Genomic DNA, 17,776 nt, shown 5'->3' with positions numbered 1-17,776 from the left:
TGATGTTTTGATGTGTATATACATTGTGAAATGATTACCACAATCAAGCTAATTAATATATTCATCACCTCATGTGGTTACATTTGTGTGTGTGTGTGTGTGTGTGTGTGTGTGTGTGTGTGTATGTGTGTGTGTGATGAAAACACTTGAGATCTACCCTCTCAGTAATTTTCAAGTACATAATACAGTATTATTAACTATGGTAACCATGCTGTACATTGGGTCTTCAGAACTTATTCATCTCATAGCTGAAAGCTTGCACCCTTTGACAAATACTCCTTTTTTCTGCCACCTCCCAGCCCATAGTAAGCACCATTCTATTCTCTGTTACTAGGAGTCTGGCTTTTTAAAAAAAGATTCTACACATAAGTGACAGCATGTGGTATTTGTCTTTCTGTATCTAGTGTATTTCGTTTAGTATAATGTTCTCCAAGTCCATCCAAGTTGTAGCGAAATGTCCTTTTTTAAAGGCTGAATAATATTCCATTGTGTGTGTGTGTGTGTGTGTGTGTGTGTGTGTGTGTGTATTACATTTTATTTATCCATTAATCTGTTAAGGACACTTAGTCGTTTCCATATCTCAGCTATTGTGAATAATGCCACAGTGAACATGTGAGTGCAGATATCTCTTTGACATACTGATTTTGTTTCCTTTGAATATATACCCAGACATGGGATTGCTGGGTCATCTGGTAGTCACATTTTTAATTTTTTGAGGAACCTCCATTCTGTTTTCCATAATGGCTGTACCGATTTACATTCCCACCAACAGTGTACAAGGCTCCCTTTTCTCCACATCCTTGACAACACTTGTTATCTTTTGACTTTTGTGAAATAACCATTCTAACAAGCATGAGGTAATATCTGATTGTGGTTTTGATTTGTATATCCCTGTTGTTTAGTGATATTGAGATTCTTTTCATTTTATTTACATTTATTTATTTATTGAGACAGAGTCTCACTCTGTTGCCCAGGATGGAGAGCAGTGGTGCAATCTCGGCTCACTGTAACCTCTGCCTCCCAGGTTCAAGTGATTCTCATGCCTCTGCCTCCCGAGTAGCTGGGATTACAGGTGTGTGCCACCATGCCCAGCTAATTTTTTTGTATTTTTAGTAGAGATGGGGTTTCACCATGTTGGCAGGCTGGTCTCAAACTCCTGACCTCAGGTGATCCACCCGCCTTGGCCTCCCAAAGTGCTGGGATTACAGGTGTGAGCCACTGCACCCAGTTGAGATTCTTTTTATATACCTGTTGATCATTTGTATTCTTAGGAAAAATACCTATTCAGGTCTTTTGATCCTTTTTAAATTTGGTTATTTGGGGTTTTTTGCTATTGATTGTCTGAATTTCTTATATATTTTAAATATTAACTCCTTATCGGACATATTAGATTTGGAAATATTTTCTCCTATTCCATAGGTTGGATGTCTTTTTGTTTTGTTGATGGTTACCTTTGCTGTGAAGAAACTATTTAATTTGATATAGTCCCAGTTGTTTATTTTTGCTTTTGTTGCATGTGCTTTCGGTGTCAGCTACTACTTAATATTTCAGATTTTGGGCTTAACACTATGGAAAATAAAGATTTAGCTTTCTTTTACACCTATTTCCACCATGTGTACCCATCCTTCCTATTACCCCATCCTCCTAATATAGTCATATCATAATGTTAATTAGATCAATAGTCAGTGTTTATAGTATTATCTAAATGCTTTTCACAGCTGAACTAGTAGAATACTATTTATTTATTTATTTATTTATTTATTTATTTATTTCCATTTTTGGACTTTTGGTTTTGTCTGGAGATAATAATTATCTGTGTTTTCATTTGCTGAATTAAAAAAAATTATTACCATCCTTAATGCCCTCCTCTCTGTGTTTTCGTATGAACTTACCAGTTTCCACTTCTTGCCTTCTGTCTTGCTGCAATCTAGGTCTCTTGGCCTCTCTGATTTGGGCATGGTTATCACCCTAGGATCACCCTTCACCAACACTACAGGAATTCCCTTGATCTTTCTGCCGTGTTTCATGCCTTGCCCTTGTGTCCATGTCTTTCTCCTTCTTGATTTTCTCCTTTTTTGAGGGAAGCACATATTTCAGTAACTTCCCAAGAAAGGTCATGGGAATTAAGGATGGGACAAGAGAAAGGAAAGTGAGGCACTTGCTTCAAGTGCAAAATGCAAGAGAGCACCCAAAATCTCAATAATCACAATAAATGATATTTTAAACAGCATTTTAAAATATAAAAATTAGTGCAAAATAATCATTATGAAAAACATATCAGAATTTTAGATAAAGACAAAGTCAGCATTACTGACTTTTCCTTTTGCTTCGGCCTCCAATATGGCTCAGCACAGCCCTGATAGAAAATATTTTGAAATTTTGCTTGTATGAAATGTCTCTATTCTATTCTTTCATTTAGCTGGGAATTGAATTCTAGGTCAAAAATAATTTTCCTTCAGAATTTTGGAGGCAATGTTCCATCATCTTCTCACTTCCAGTGTTACTTTCTGAGAAGTCTTCAATCACTATAATTGCTGACCATTTTTGTACGTGACCTGGTTTTGCTGTTTGGAACCTCATAGAATCTTTTCTTTATCACCAGTATTCTTGTACTTTGCAGTAATTGTTTTGTGGAGCTTTTTGTTTGTTTGTTTGTTTTTTAATCTATGGACCTGATTCTCAAGGATTCTTTCATTCTGGAGACTTATGCCCTTGGGTTCTGGAGAAATCAATCTCTTTTTAAAGAAAATAATTTTTCACCTTCTTTTTTTCACTGTCTGGAAGTACTATTAGTCAAATTTACTGAATTCGTCCTTATTTTTCTTACATTTTCTCCACTATTTTCATCTCTTTGCCATTTGTTTTCTATTTTCGGACAGACTGCCTTGTTGATAAGAGGATAAGTGCAGTCTTTCAGATACATTTTCTTTTATTATTTTGGAAATCAAAACATTTAACACTACTCAACTTTTTGCTACTTTTCCTTTTCTCTGCGAGTTGTTCTCAAAGATTACAGGGAGTACTTTCGATATTGCAGCTACAACTTTCACACACCGAGATGGAATTCATTGACTTGGAGACACACTTATTGCTTTACTAAAATGTAAATGCCTATAATAATAATAGGTACTGTATTTTGAACACTTGCTATGTGCCAACCCTGTTCTAAGTGTTTCACATGGCTTAATGTATTTAATCCTTAAAACAATTCTGTGGGTTGGGTGCTTTTATTATCCCCACCTTCCAGATAAGGAAGCTAAGGTCCAGAGAGGTTAACAGCTGGTAAATTGCAGAAGCAGAATTTGAACGCAGATGGCAAGACTCCAGAGCCTGTGTCCTTAACCACCGTACTATGTTGTCTCTCGGAACTTGTTCATCACCTAAAAATTCATTTTTAGGAGGTACTTTTTAATTAGGATCTGAGTAGAGGGAGTAACTAGCATCCCATGATTATAGCAGTTCTGGGATGTTACTACTTAACCATTTCATGGCCAGTAAAACCAGTTTAATAGGCACAGTCTTGGTCTTTTAAGCCAATAGTTCTCAGACTTTTGGATTGACCAATATTTCAAGTAAAAATAGGGGAAATCTGCATGGAATGTCCATTTTTTTTGTTTTCCAAGTCAGGCCAAACAAAGAAACTTATAAACTTCAAAAGCTAAGATCTGCCACCATTTTCCAAAAGAAGGACATTTTAATAGCCCCCAATAAAATAATTAGGAAAGACACACACTTGACTAAAGGCCAATCAGTTCTTTCCAATAACAGTCCTCCGATTATCTTATACTGACTTTTCTACTGTGACTTTTCTACTTTTCTACTTTTCAACTGATGCTTGGAAGCCATAACTCTATACTTTTTCAGGAAACAATAATAAGCCCTTGAATTTGTGGTATTAGAAAGGATGTTCACCTAGCCATGAAAACCAGACATTGCTGGAAGTTATTATGTTTTGGTAACAGGTTAGGAAATGGAAGCCCAGACAGGGAAAATGACCTGTCTAAAGTCTCATGGCAAGCACCCTGAGGAGTGGAGTCTTTTAACACAGACCCAATAATTTCCCAGCTACAGTTGGGTCTGGAAACTTTCCTTTGAGTCCATATCAGTCAATGGCAGAATGTGCTCTAAAGATAAGGGGCTCCTGGGACATTAGTTATTTTAAATACACTGGAATAAGTCACTTCTGTGCAAAGTAGGGCTCAGCAACTGGCATGACGCACTGAGGTTGGCAGCCATCCCAAGCCTCAGTGTGAAAGGCGAGAATGTCTCCACACCCTATAATCCCAGCAATAGGGTCTCTATCGTTTAAGATTCCTAAACAGTATTACACATAACCCTCTAGGGGCTTAAACTTGACACACAGAAAGGTAAGCAGGGGCAGGTAGGTAATCTCCTCACATGTCCTGTTGCACCTCCCTAGCTGGTAGAGAGCAGTGTCACCTTAATCCCCACCAGGCAGATCTCTTCTTGCTCCTGTTGGGAACCAGGAGACAAGAAGTGAGAAATGACCCCAGGCCTGAAGCCAAATCATTCTCAATTTTTTGAAAGTGAGCTCTGCAATATAGAACAGGAGCTGTGTTCTGAAAACACCAGAGCAATCCCTGCACGATTAGGGCTGTGGTGAGGACCCCTTTGACACGTGATCCAAGGGGTTGATGGAGACTGACTCCTAAGTCTTCTGCAGGTAGGATGCCTATGTTTCCACTGTTTGTACCCAAAACAAGGCAGGGGGATTTGTCTCCCTACACGCTTAGGAGCAGCACTGCCAGAGAAGGGACATGAAAGTCTCCACCTTCTCCCAGAACAACACTAGGAGTGACTCAACTGAGCAGCTCTGAGAATGGGCAGACTGGCTGCTGTGCAGACTCACATCCCGGAACATTCTGCTGCAGGTGTGTGGAGCCTGGGGGAGGGGCAAGGAGCCTGGTTAGAAAGAGAAACAGGGAAGTGACACAGGTTCCCACCATACTTCCCTGATTCTGGGGTCCATCGTTTCATTTGGGCCAGGTGGTGGAGACTACAGGGCTCTGGAGTTAGGAGAAATCTTGGTGATGTCTCATTTGAGACAGAAGGCTTAGCAGTTGAGGGCCTTGCACACCTGGCAGGTAAGTGCCGGAGCTGCTAATGGCAATAGCAATAATTGGGTGCTTACTATATGCTAAGTGTGGAACAAAATGTCTGTGCCCATTAGTTCACTTAATAATTCCAACAATTTAATAATTCCAACAGTTAATAATTCCAACTGCAGTAATTTGCCAAAGCCGTGGGGCTAGCAAAAGGCAGGAGTAGGACTTGAACCCAGCCTGGTCTGCTGCCAGGGCCTGTGCTTGGGGACTCCAGTGAGATGCCAGGTCGGACAACACTGTGGATGGAAATTGGAATACTGCATTTCCCTCTGTTCCAGTGTTCATACTATGTTTTAAAGAAAAACACTCATTAAAAAAAATTTGAGGGTTGTGGTGGTGCGGAAGTCAGGAGGTCTTGTGCCCAGTCTCCTGCCTAACTTGCTATGTGACTTGGGGTAAGCATCTTCCTTCCCCTCTCTGAGCCTCAGTTTTGTCATCTTGGGGCCTTGTGATGAAAGTGCATTGTGTGCTACAAAGCAGGGTTGGTCACAGAGTGAGGACATGTGTTGTGGACATGCTTCTGTGCAGCCCTCAGTGGCAAAAGGGAGAAAGGCCACCAGAGGAGATTCCAGGTGATGGCTCAGGGCCTGGCCTCCCAAGAGGCTGGGCCGCTTCTAGCCCACCAGCTGGGCCGACACAAAACCTCAGCTTTTGTTTGACTTGGCTTCTTGTGCCTTGTTTAGTCTGCAGAGCAGGGAGCTTATCCTCTGCCTTTGTCACAGGCCATTAGTACACACACCATCCCTGGGGGCTTACAGCTGGCTGCTTCTCTAGGAATTCAGGGAGGGCCATGGAAGAAGCTCAGCTCTTAGAAGCCATCGCCCCAACCCCCATCAGAACAGCCTCAGCTGAGAACCGATGGAGCTCTGCACTCCTTGTCTGCACTTTTGGCTGTGTGACCTTGGGCCAGTCTCTCTCCATCTCTGGGCCTAGGTCCACACATCTGTGCATAGACAGAGCAGGCCCAGGTGCCCTCAGAGGGACCTCAACTTCATGAGGATCAGAAGCACCTTCCTGTGTGGTTCCTCCCCTTTGAGGCCTCCCTCGCTTCTCTGCTGCTCCTCCCCCAATCTTGAAGCAATTTGTAGTGTCTGTTGGGTTTTCACTGATCCCAACTCTGCCTAGAGCCTGGGACCAATCCCTCTGTCAGTTCTTCTCTCCTTCAACCTCCTGCTTGTAAATTGGGGCTAATAATACCTGATAACTCACTTTGCTGCTACAGGGATTAACTAATTAGTGGTTATTAAGGGATAGAGGAATGCAGTACTCTGCTCCCATTAAGATGACTTTCCTCCTCCAACTTCCTGCTACTGTGTGCGCAATCTCAGTGTTAGTCAGAAAACCCTGAAAGTCCGGACTTCCAGGACCTCCATGATACAGATAAAGAAACTGAGGCTGAGGAGCAGGAAGGAGTAGCCTGTGACCATGCAGCGTCTTGTAGCAGAGAGGGGACCAGAACTCAGGGCACTGGGCTTCTGTCTAGTCTTCCTCCATCATCCCCAGTGGAAGTGGTCCAGGGTGATCCTTGGGCTAGGAGGGAAGATTTATGGAAAGGCTCTCACACCCAGTGCCTGGCTCACAGGGGATCCACAGTTTGATTTTCGGGGAACAAAATTTGGCATCAGCCAGACCCAGGTGCCAGTCCTGGCATCTTGGCTTACTGGGTGACTTTGTACATGTTACCTGCTTCCTGCTTAACTGTCAGTTTGTTCACCTGTAAGTGAGGATAATGACACCTTCCTCAAAGGTTGCTGTGAGGACTGGCCCCACACAGTATTTGGAAAACAGTAGGCATCATGTTGTTCTGATTATATTGTTGTTCTTGTGGATTGCCGTGCTGGACAGAGCTCTCCCTGCCCAGGAGCAGAGCTTCCCTGAGGGCTCCTGTGGGCTACACCTTGGCTGGGGGCTTCCAGGTGCAGCACCTCACTTCATCCTCACCCCAGTCAGCCCATTTGACAGAGTTGCACATGGAGGCTCAGACAGAGTTACTAGCCCATTTGACAGAGTTGCACATGGAGGCTCAGAAGGGAAAATAACTTGCCTGAAGCCATGCTTTCATTAGCAGTGAGATGGCAGCATTTTCAGTCTTTTTCTTTCTATCTCCTCACTCTCTTTCACCCTTTATTTCCTGTCCATTGCCCTTTCTCTTTACTGTAGAGAAGTTTGAGTGATGCCCAGTTCATTACAAGCCATGCCCCCTCAGGCTTCTCACACCCCTCCCTCATATAGCCCATCTGCACCCACCTCAGGTTTCAGGCATTTGCTGGAAGGTGCGTGGGGGTGCAGGAAGACACTGTGTCTGACCAGGCTCAGTGTGTGTGTGTAGGGGGGACAAGACTATGACATGCACCAGCCTCAGCCCTGGGTATGATCTCTCTGTAATAATATTGATGACAATGTTGGTGTTAGCTTCCATGGCTGAGCACTGAGCCAGCATTCATTGTCTCCTTACTGCAACATGTGGGCTCCATACTACTAGCTCCCTGCTACTGGCTCCATTTTAAACATGAAGAAATGGAGGCTGAGAGAGGTGAAGTGACTTGCCCAAAGTCACATAGTCGGTAAACGGTTACAATTTAAACCCAAGTCTTTTGCCCCTGTGGTCTGTGCCCATAATCAGATTCTGTATACCTCTGAACTCCTCCACCTTCCTTGGGGCCTGGAGTCTTGGGACTGACACAGGTTCAAACCTGGGTTGTTTCTGGTCACATCCATCCTTCAGATTCCTGCAGTTGTCCCCTCAACCCAGAGTGACAGCCATGTATACATAGGCAGTCTAATGGGAATAATAATGCAGAGTTATTGAAGATGGAATACAAGCAGAGCACTCATTAAGGTGCCTGGCACATGGTGAACACACAGTGTATGGCAGTAGTTGTTATTATAGACATGACGTTGGCCTCCTGTGGAAATGTGGGGGTCCATGTGCTCAGGGGAAAGGGAAGTAGAGGAAGTCAGGCTAGCAGGACAGAGCATCCCGTCCCTGGTGACCTGTTAAGGCTGCAGCCAGAAGAAAAATAAAACTTAGGGGCATGGTCGTTGTCTCTGAGGGGCTACCCTGGGGCAGAAGGAACAGATGTGGTCTGTGGGGGCCACAGAGGACAAAGCCAGTGGGGAGGAGTTGCGGGAGGGAGGATGATTTTTAAATACTCAAAGAAGGAAAGGGTCGGCTTGAGTGGTGTTGAATTCCCCAAACTGGAGGTGAGCGAGCAGATGCTGGAAGTGGGCCGGCATCTGTGTCGCAGAAGGCATTTGAATGGCTGCATGGCATGATTACTGAGGTCTCAGACAGGAGTGTTACAAGACGGCTGATTTTGACCCTGACTGAGCAAGTGTTTTCTGGCAGAGCTGTCTAAAGATGCATCTCGCTGCTTCAGGGAATGGTAGTGAGGCTCGTGTCTTGGGGAGTGTTTAGGCAGAAGCTGGATAGTCACTGGACAGGGACGTTGTTGAAGGCATTAGTATATCAGATAGCAGGCTGGATTAGATGACCCCTTAGTGAGAGGTGACACGGCACTGGAGAAAAAGAGGGGGCCTGAGTCTGAAGTCTGATCCAGGCTCTGACATTTGCCTGTTGGGAAATCTTGGGCAAGTCACAACCTCTCTGAGTTCTGATTTCCTCACCTGTAAAATGAAAATCATAATTCCTTCCCTCCTTGCTGTCTAGGATTGTAGCGAAGGGTTGGAGATACGCAAACTGTAAAAAGGCTTTGTGAACTCTGAAGCTGCTGTGAATGACTCGTTTGACTCACTTGACCCTGTTGGGGGACAGGAAGAGTGGCTTTTGGATCTTAATCCAAAAAAACACAATCCCAAACACCATCATCCTGAAAGCTGAATTCTGGAGGTGGGATTAGTGGGGGTTTCGGTTGCACACAGAGCAGTTACATTATGTTAGTTGCATCACGTTAGGCGGAACTATTACCTTGCTGTTGTCTTTATTTGCATCTGGTGGAAAATTCAGATGAGTTGTTTGGCCAAGCAATATTGCAGTTATGAAAACTTCTGTTTAAGAATGTTTCCTTGGCCTGCATTGACATTCCTTCTAGCTGATGACATTCCAGGAGCTTTTAATGAATTAAAGCCACATTTGCCTGAAGAAGCTGGTGACGTTATTGACTAGTTTGAAAACAATTATTTTCGTGGTAGGATAAGGAGACAGCCAATGGTGTTACAATGTGTTACTGTTTGATCGCCATTATCGTTTCCACCAAATTTGTGGTCTGTATATGCACGCTTGTGGAATGCATTTTGGAGTACTCAAAACAACACAGAAGCAGGGCTCAAAAGATTGGAAAATTTAATAGGAAATGCTAATGTCAGTGTGTATTGTATCATAGAAGGATTTCAAAAAGAGCAGTGCCACATAGAAAATGAATGTGAATGTATTTTCCAAGGAGATCTGTGTCCAAAAAAATAATAAGCAGCTATTTATCATGATGCAAGACTTCAAAACATAGTTAATAATCATGAAAATCAGCTAGCTCTTATGGACTATCTCTGTGCAATTGCCCATAATCTATCCCTATAATACACTTTTCAATATGTCAAATTTTCTTTTTAGTTTTTAAATCTTTTGGGGTTTTCCCCCTACTATTTAAAATTGTCAGTATTATTTTTTACAATTCACTACCCTTCATATCTCATCTTTGCATCATTTCCAATACTTGTAGTATAAATTGTATAGAGGCTTTCAGAGTTCTAATTTGTTTTATGCAGCTTTTACAAATTTGACTCCATGAAAGTACAGCATCACAATGTTGGCTTGTGTGTAAGCATTGTACATGTATGTAAAAACATTGAAGCTTCCTCAGTAAAGGAAAATATGTCCTTTTTTGTACATCTGCATTTGTAAAAATAACATTTCTTGAGATCTTGGCCCTTTGGGTGACTGCATATTTGGTGGTGACGCACCATGGTTTTTTATTGATGTCATCAAAAGACTTAGGATGTTCATCATGGTATTTCAGATGACTGCCGTTATAAATCTGGGTGCCTACAACTACTAACTATGGTGGTATGCATTTATACATTTCCATTTGTAACCTATTTCTTTATGAATATAGTACATCTGCTCATAACTGTCATACTTGTATAACTGTTGTTAGTACACTTGAGTATTTATGCTTGCAAAAATATGTATGATATTATTGCCTATTTTATTGTGTAAAGTGGCCTATGTGTTTTTGTGTTTCTCAAATAAATCTTCTTTTAAAGATGTAAATAAATATCTTTTCAAGAATTTTTAAATTATTTTTTCCAGAATTGTGTTTTTGGGATTTTGATCCTTCAGGATTTTTCAATATTTGGGATTATGGTGTTCAAGGTTGTCTCTTCCGGGATTATGATCTGCTCCTGGAAAGGGGTGTGGAGAAAGATGGGTGGAAAGGAAGGAGAGAGAGGAGGAAGGAGGCTGTGTCTGGCCTAGTGCTGGGTGCTGGGTTGGAAAAGAATGGTGTTTGTAGCAGATGGTCTGCCCCTCTTAGTTCTGCAGCCATAGTTTGAGTTTCTAGAAAAGGACTTTCTACAATGATGGAAATGTTCTATGTTTGTGTTGTCCAATCAGTAGCCAGTAGCTACATAGGGTTATTGAGGCCTTTGAGGCTAGTGTGACTGAGGAACTAAATTTTAACTTTTATTTAGTTAGTTTAATTTTTTTTTTTTTTTTTTTTTTTTGTGAGACAGAGTCTCCCTCTGTTGCCCAGGCTGGAGTGCAGTGGCGCAATCTCGACTCACTGCAACCTCCGCCTCCCAGCTTCAAGCAATTCTCCTGCCTCAGCCTCCTGAGTAGCTGGGGCTACAGGCACATGCTACCATGACTAGCTAATTTTTGTATTTTTAGTAAAGATGGGGTTTCACCATATTGGTCAGGCTGGTCTCGAACTCCTGACCTCAGGTGATGCACCCGCCTTGGCCTTCCAAAATGCTGGGATTACAGACGTGAGCCACTGCACCTGGCCCAATTAGTTTAAATTTAAATAGCCACATGTGGCTGGTGGCTACCATACTGGACAACTCAGCTCTAGAAGAAGTGACAGGAGCCTCTCTTCTTTCCACCTTTCCTATCCTCCTTTCTTAGCAGGTGTTGTTGACTTATGCTGTGCTGGACACTGTGGAGGCCACCAAGATGAACAAGATATGGTCCCAGCTCCCGAGAGCCCCCAGCTCATTGTGTGAGAGGGACAGATAAGCATGTGGATAGAAACTACAACCCAAAGGGAGGCGTGCAGCCCTCCAGCTGTGTGGGAGCAGAAGGAGGAAGCTATTCACTCAGTTGGGACTGCGAAGGCTGTACTGTGAAGGATGAGTTAGGAGGCCTGGGTGGGAGAAAGCCTTTTTGAAGAGGGAAGAGCAGAGCCAAAGCTTGAAGGCAAGAAACAGCATAGAGTGTTTGGAGAATTCAGACTGAGGTGAGGCTGGGGAAACCAAATCCCACACTCTGTTCCCATCACCAAGCAATGACTGGTGAGCTGACGGAGCGAAGAGCTTCAAGGTCAGTCCTAGTGAGGGTCCTGTTCACCCAACCTGCCTTGCACCATTCAGGACATGTAAAGGGTATGGCACTGGGGGCCCCTCCCTCCACCTCCAACTCACAGAGTCTTGTCTCCCTGCCTTTCCTGCACAGAAGGCCTCAGGGCCCCAAGATCCTCCTTTGGCAAAATCCCCAAGAGTCTCCCTCTGACAACACACCCTTCTTTTCTTCACCCTTCTGACCGAAAACTTAGTCCTGACTCATGCCTTGGCATTCCTGGGCTGGGGTGTCTGCTGATTTTACTGGTGCTGGGCTGACAGCTGGACTGACTTCCTGCATTCAGCACCACCTCACTTTAGTCCATCCCATGACAGCAGTCCAGAGAACCTTTCTCAAAGTGACTAGGACAAATGTCGACACCTGAAGGTTGATTCTGGACATTGTGTGTGGATGTCTTATGATCACCATTCTCTTGCAGAGACTAGGGGGAGAAAACTTCCTGCCTGAGAACTTGATGTGGCCCAAGTTTAAGGAAAGCTTTGGCCAAGGTAATCATTGGACGTAGTGCAGTGCACATCGTGGGCTACCTGCCAGTGCCGTTTTCCTTTTGTTCCTTCCTAACAGAACCCGAGTGTGATTGAGGTAACCCCATCATACACTTACAGACACAGCCAGCTACCCCTGGGGGTCTCTGACCCCACCCCCAACTTCAGAGGAGTGCTTGATTGGTCTAGGGAAAATCCCATTTCACTTGCCAGTGTCTCTATCTCAACTCACTGATTGAGGAAAGCCATGAGATCTGATTTTGGCCAATGAAACACAGGAAATATCTGCTGAGGACTTTGGGGAAGTTTTCCTTGCCTTATCCCTGGGAGGCAGACATAGTAAGAAACGGTTCCCCTACTTCCTCAGATTGACATCATGTGGAAGATTCCATACAGATGTGATGTTCGAAATTGATGTGTCCTTGTTTCTAGGCAGAGTAAGGAGCTTGGAAGAACCTGAAGACACCATTGAATCCCTGAATCAACCTACCCTGAAGCCCATCCCAACTCCACACTTTCTGTTTTGTGACATAATACATTTCTGTTATTTGAGGCTGGATGCTTCTTTTTTTTTTTTTTTTTTTTTTTTTTGAAACAGAGTTTCACTCTTGTGGTCCAGGCTAGAGTGCAAAGGAGCAATCTTGGCTCAGTGCAATCTCCACCTCCCAGGTTCAAGCGATTCTCCTGCCTCAGCCTCCCAAGTAGCTGAGATTACAGGCACATGCCACCACGCCAGGCTAATTTTTGTGTTTTTAGTAGAGATGAGGTTTTACCATGTTTGCCAGGCTGGTCTTGAACTCCTGACCTCAGGTGATCTGCCCGCCTCGGCCTCCCAAAGTGCTGGGATTACAGGCGTGAGCCACCGTGCCCGGCTGGCTGAATGCCTCTTAACCAATACAGGGAGATGAGGTGCACTGGTTGGGACTCTTACCATTTTAAGTGATAGAAACACAATTCCAACTGGTGTGAGCAAAAAGGGGCACGTATAAGATGGATATCCATGTGGGCGGGAGAATCTGTGCAGATTATGTGCATTTGTAAAAATGTCTTCTAGTAGTCTAGAGTCTACACTGGCTTTGAGAATTATTGTTTAGCTTTGAAAGTGTGTGTGTGTTCCAAATATTACCATTTGGGAGGTGGTGGGGAGAACCAGTGGCATTTTCATTTCATTTTGGTGAAGACACATAGAAGAGGACTGTCTTTTGAGTGCCCAAGCTCACCTCATGTGTTTCTGCTGAGGCCCTGCGTGACTATTCTAGACTTGGTCTTTGAGAAATTCCTGCTAGGTGTATTTTGTATGATGGATTTCCCTGACTTTGAGTTAGTCTCATTCCTGTGAGGACTCACCTGGTGAAGGACTGGCAAAGGGATTTTTCTCACAGAGAAGGAAAAGGAAAGTGGTCTTCAAGACAAGAAACATGAGAAAACCACTCATGGAGGGTTTATATTTCTTTGTTTTTGTCCCTTGGAAGAGTTATATTTGGAATCCGGTTTTATGGCTGCAATTTTCTGATGTTCTCTGATCTTTAGTGGAGGCTGATAGACCTATACAGCCTGGCAGGTGGGTTGTGGGGTGTTGAGCACGGGCCGGGGGCGGGGGCTGGGTTTTTCAACAGCTCCTTCATGGTGAGGCCCTGCAGTGCTGACTATATCACACAGCCGATGACCAGGGCAAAGCAAATGGAAGCCCAACGTGGAGCTGGGAGTGGTGGGCAATTGGGACCCTTTGAAATCCATTCCTCAGCCTTGAATAGGCCTCCAAATATCTCCCGTTTGGGCCTCAATGCCAGGTTAGGGTGGAACTCGATGAGAGTGGCCCAAGATCTAAGAACATATACTCCCCACTCAGTGACTCCCCTGCCCTCTTGGGTCCTTCCTAAGCTACCCCCTGGGGATGGGGCCCCACTTCCCCTGTGAGGTCAGAGCTGGGGCCCGAGGTGCCTGCAGACTGGGGTGTCTGTCCTCTGCAAGGAGTAGCGATGCCTATTACCTCCTCCTGTGTGTTGGGAGGCTTAGGGACTTAGTGCAGCTGTTGAGAAATAAAGCTATTTAAGTGGTGAGCTTTATATTTTGATCCACAAGCCTGTCTGTTTCCAAAATTCCCTTGTAGACACCATCAAGCAAAGCCTGGCAGGTTTTGTTGTTGCTTTTTTCTTTCCTCCAAAAGCCTGCTAAAATTGCTTGGTTAGCTATGATAGGAGAAGCCATTTTCTTCTGTGTTGTTGGGTTCTGTTCTCCTCTCTCCACTGAAGCCACCAGCTTGGAAACTTCTGAGTGCAACGGGAAGGGACTGCTTCTTAATTTCCCTGCCTTAGCCTGGCATTTGGGGCTCTTTTTCAAGAACAGATCCTAATTGGCCTTCGCAGACTTAGCTCCAGCTACTCCTCAGAGTATACTCTTTTTTAAAAAAAATGAAACAATGGCAACTCTACTTTTAAAATCCAGGGACCCACAATTACCTCCTTTTTTCCCTCTCTATTTTATTCCCTCTGCCTAAAATGCCCTTTGTTCCCTTCCACATCCCAACTTTACCTCTACATGCCCAAAGTCTACCTAGTTTTAAAGCTCAGGGCAAATGCCACCTATAGCACAAAACCTTGCCACAGCCTTGGTTAGAAGTCACCAGAGGAACCGATAAGAGATCATAATCCCCGCCTCACAGTGTTGCTGAACAGAGTAGACACAGCAGGAAAAGTGCCTGGCACATGGTGGTAGTTTACTAACAGGGAGCTTCTCTCTTTCCCTTCTTTGGAGAGTGGTTTGCCCAAGAACATACTTGGCCATAACCCGTCGGAGCTCCCTCCACATTCTGCCTCTAAGGATCATGGGCCAATATGCCTCAGGCTAGCTGGGGATGCTTGCCTTTCTCTTCCTCTTGTGTGGTTTGAAGTCTCACACATTGGCCATTCTGCCCCTGAGTGCTCACCATTACTTTCCTTTACCACTCCCCTTCCCTGGGCTCTTGATAGAAATAAGGTGGCTGCTCCACCAGCTTTTCAAGTTCTGAGTGATCTCATCCAGCTTGGGAAGGGGATGAAGGTCTGAGAAGGTTTCTTGGAGGACTTTGATGGTGAAGCTGTATCAACTGGAGTGACTATTATTAAGCAAAGACAAGGAAAGCTTGAGGTCTGTCTGGGAAGGGGCAGGGCACTGAATGTGGCTGGGGTATTGAGTATGTGATGGAAATGGTGAGAGATGAGGCTGGGAGGTTAGGGTGGTGCCAGATCATGAGGGAACTGGAGATCTGACTTTGCCCTGAAACAAAGGGAGCCACTGAAGGTCTTGGTGCAAGGGAATGATGGTGTCCAAGGTGTGTTTTGGAAGAGTGCTCTGAGGTAGCTTGGAGGATGGGTTCGGGGAGGTGAGACTCGATGCAGGAGATCCAGGCAATAGTCGAAAGGCAGGGAAGAAGGGTCTAGAAAATACAGATTTTAGAAGGCTGGATGGATAGGGGCCTCCACCCCAAGAGCCTGGACTCCCCTTTGGACATCTCAGCTTCCCAGACTCACACAGGTGGGAAACAGGAAGGTGGGCTCTCTCTGTCCCTCTCTATTCTGGCCCCACCTTGGCCCCCAGTTACCTCCTTGGTAGCTCCATTACTGGTATCGTTAACCTCTTCTGTGCTGAACTCAACTTTCCCACTTCAAACTAATTTCATCTGAACTACTGCAATAGCCTCCTAACTGATCTCTCTGCCTCCCTTCTTACCCCAACCCTCTCATACCCACCCAGCAGCCAGGCGGGTCCTGTGAAAGTAGAAGTTAAATCATGCCGCCTCTTTGATCAAAATTCCCCAGTGTCGCTTCATCTTACCCCGAGGAAAAGCCAAGTCCTCACTGTGCCCTCTAGGCTCCACCTACCTGACCTCTGACCTCACTGCCCTCCCTGACCAATACCTCTCTGAGGTCACCCACTCCTGCTCCCTCACCCCAACCCCACACAGAGCCTCCATCCTTCTGCCTCAAGGTCTCGCACCTGATGTTCCTTCTGCCTGAAACACTCTTCCCTGTGGGTGCCTTTGGCTCCTTCCTCCCCACTTTCACGTCCTGTGCAGATGGCACCTTCTCTGAGAAGCCCTCATCGTGCATCCTATCAGTCATAGCTGCCTGGCCCTCCTCGCCTTTGGGAGCCTTCCTTCCTTTATTCTTTCCCTACACCTGTCACCTTCTGCTATAATGTGTGACTGTCTCATTTGTTATGTTTGTTTTCTGTCTCTCCACTAGAAAGTAACAGAATTATGTCTGTTTTCTGAGGTCTCCCCCAGTGTCCAGAACAGTGCCCAGAGCATAGTAGGCATTCAGTAAACATCTGTAGAATGAACGAATGATGAATGAATGAATGATTCCTGACTGCCCTCAAGTCCGAGCACCACTGAAAGCTCTCCCAAGTGCTTCACTGTCCTGGTCCCTGCCCAGTCCCTCCTTGTCCTATCCGCAGCTCTGCACTGACCTCAGCTCGTCTGGTCACTGTCAGCTCCCCTAGATCCTGCCCCTCCTCGTTCCTCAGCTGCCGACTGAACAGTCAGAGCGGGGATGAGGAAGCCATGAAGATGTAAAAGGAAGGGTATGCAAACCCTATGAGATCTGCTCTCAAGGACACCCGGGAGAGAGTCCAAACTCCTTGACATGTGTCACAGGGCTCCTGCCTCCCTCTGCTGCCAATCCATGTACCACTCCTCCCTGCAGCCTGTGCTATTGGTGTCTTTCTGTTTCTCGAATGGCGCATCTGTCCTGTTGTGTTCCTTGAGCCCTTTGGACTCCAGACTCCATGCTGTTCCCTCCTCCCTGAATTCTTGTCTGGCCAACTCCTAGCCAGCCTTCAGATTTTATCTAAATATCACTGTCTCTGGAAGACCTTGCTCAATTCCTAGATAAAGTTCACACTCCCATGGGGCCCTGTCTCTGCCCTTGTGTGAGAGTCATTATGCCTATAATTATTCTTCATTGCTTGTTCTCCCCACTGAGCTGTGAGTCCAGGAGGGAAGGCTTCAAGCCTGCTTACCTCTATATGCTCAGAGCCTGACACAATGCTTGTCAGAGAGAAAGGGTTCAAGAAGTCATTGCTGAATTAAAGAGTGAAGAGGATTTACCAGGGGCCATCCAAAAAGAAAGGAGAGGGAAAGGGAGAGGGAAAGGGAGAGAAAGAGGGAGAGGGAGAGAGAGAGGGGGAGGTAGACGGAGAGGTGGGGGGAGAGAGAGAGGAGAGTGAGAGCGAGGGAGAGAGAGAGAGTAAGAAAGAAATAAGGAAGAAAGTCCAGAAAGAACATAGGCTCTGGAATCCAAATGTCCTGGTTCCAATCCCAGCTCTGTCACTTACAAGCAGTGTGACCATGGGTAAGTCACCTCCCCTCTCTGAGCCTCAATTTCTCATCTCTAAAATATAGATAATAATAGAGCTGTACCAGGAGTGTTGGAAGAATGACATGCAACACTGGTCAGATGCTTGGTACCTGGGAAGATACTGAATAAATGGTGTCTATGTTACTGATGACACTATGAAACACTAGCAATCGTCTCTCCCTATTCAGCTTTGACTCCAAAGTATGTCCAGGCCAATTGTCTTATTTTCTTCTTAGAGTAGCTCTTTGAGAAAGAAGGGTAAGGATGGAAACTGAGGGTAGAGAGATTAAG

At 45.0% G+C, this 17,776-nt stretch overlaps 1 long non-coding RNA gene across 1 annotated transcript in view, besides 2 other annotated features; it reads left to right on the top strand.

Moving 5' to 3' along the window:
* The window catches only part of PTCSC2 (papillary thyroid carcinoma susceptibility candidate 2), a 153,456-nt gene that overhangs the window by 74,931 nt on the left and 60,749 nt on the right, over positions 1-17,776 (top strand). The window lies entirely within an intron of this gene.
* Positions 5,266-5,765: an enhancer, noted in NCBI's record as "NANOG-H3K4me1 hESC enhancer chr9:100534667-100535166 (GRCh37/hg19 assembly coordinates)". NCBI's record gives its function as "activates a minimal SCP1, AML or CMV promoter by ChIP-STARR-seq in naive H9 embryonic stem cells {active_cell/tissue: H9 hESC(naive)}" and the evidence as "EXISTENCE:reporter gene assay evidence [ECO:0000049][PMID:30033119]".
* Positions 5,766-6,267: an enhancer, noted in NCBI's record as "NANOG-H3K4me1 hESC enhancer chr9:100534165-100534666 (GRCh37/hg19 assembly coordinates)". NCBI's record gives its function as "activates a minimal SCP1, AML or CMV promoter by ChIP-STARR-seq in naive H9 embryonic stem cells {active_cell/tissue: H9 hESC(naive)}" and the evidence as "EXISTENCE:reporter gene assay evidence [ECO:0000049][PMID:30033119]".

Source organism: Homo sapiens, chromosome 9, assembly GCF_000001405.40.
Source record: "Homo sapiens chromosome 9, GRCh38.p14 Primary Assembly".
NCBI classification, from domain to species: Eukaryota; Metazoa; Chordata; class Mammalia; order Primates; family Hominidae; genus Homo; species Homo sapiens.
The sequence above is the reverse complement of the archived record's forward strand: the minus strand, read 5'-3'. Positions and strand labels throughout refer to the sequence as shown.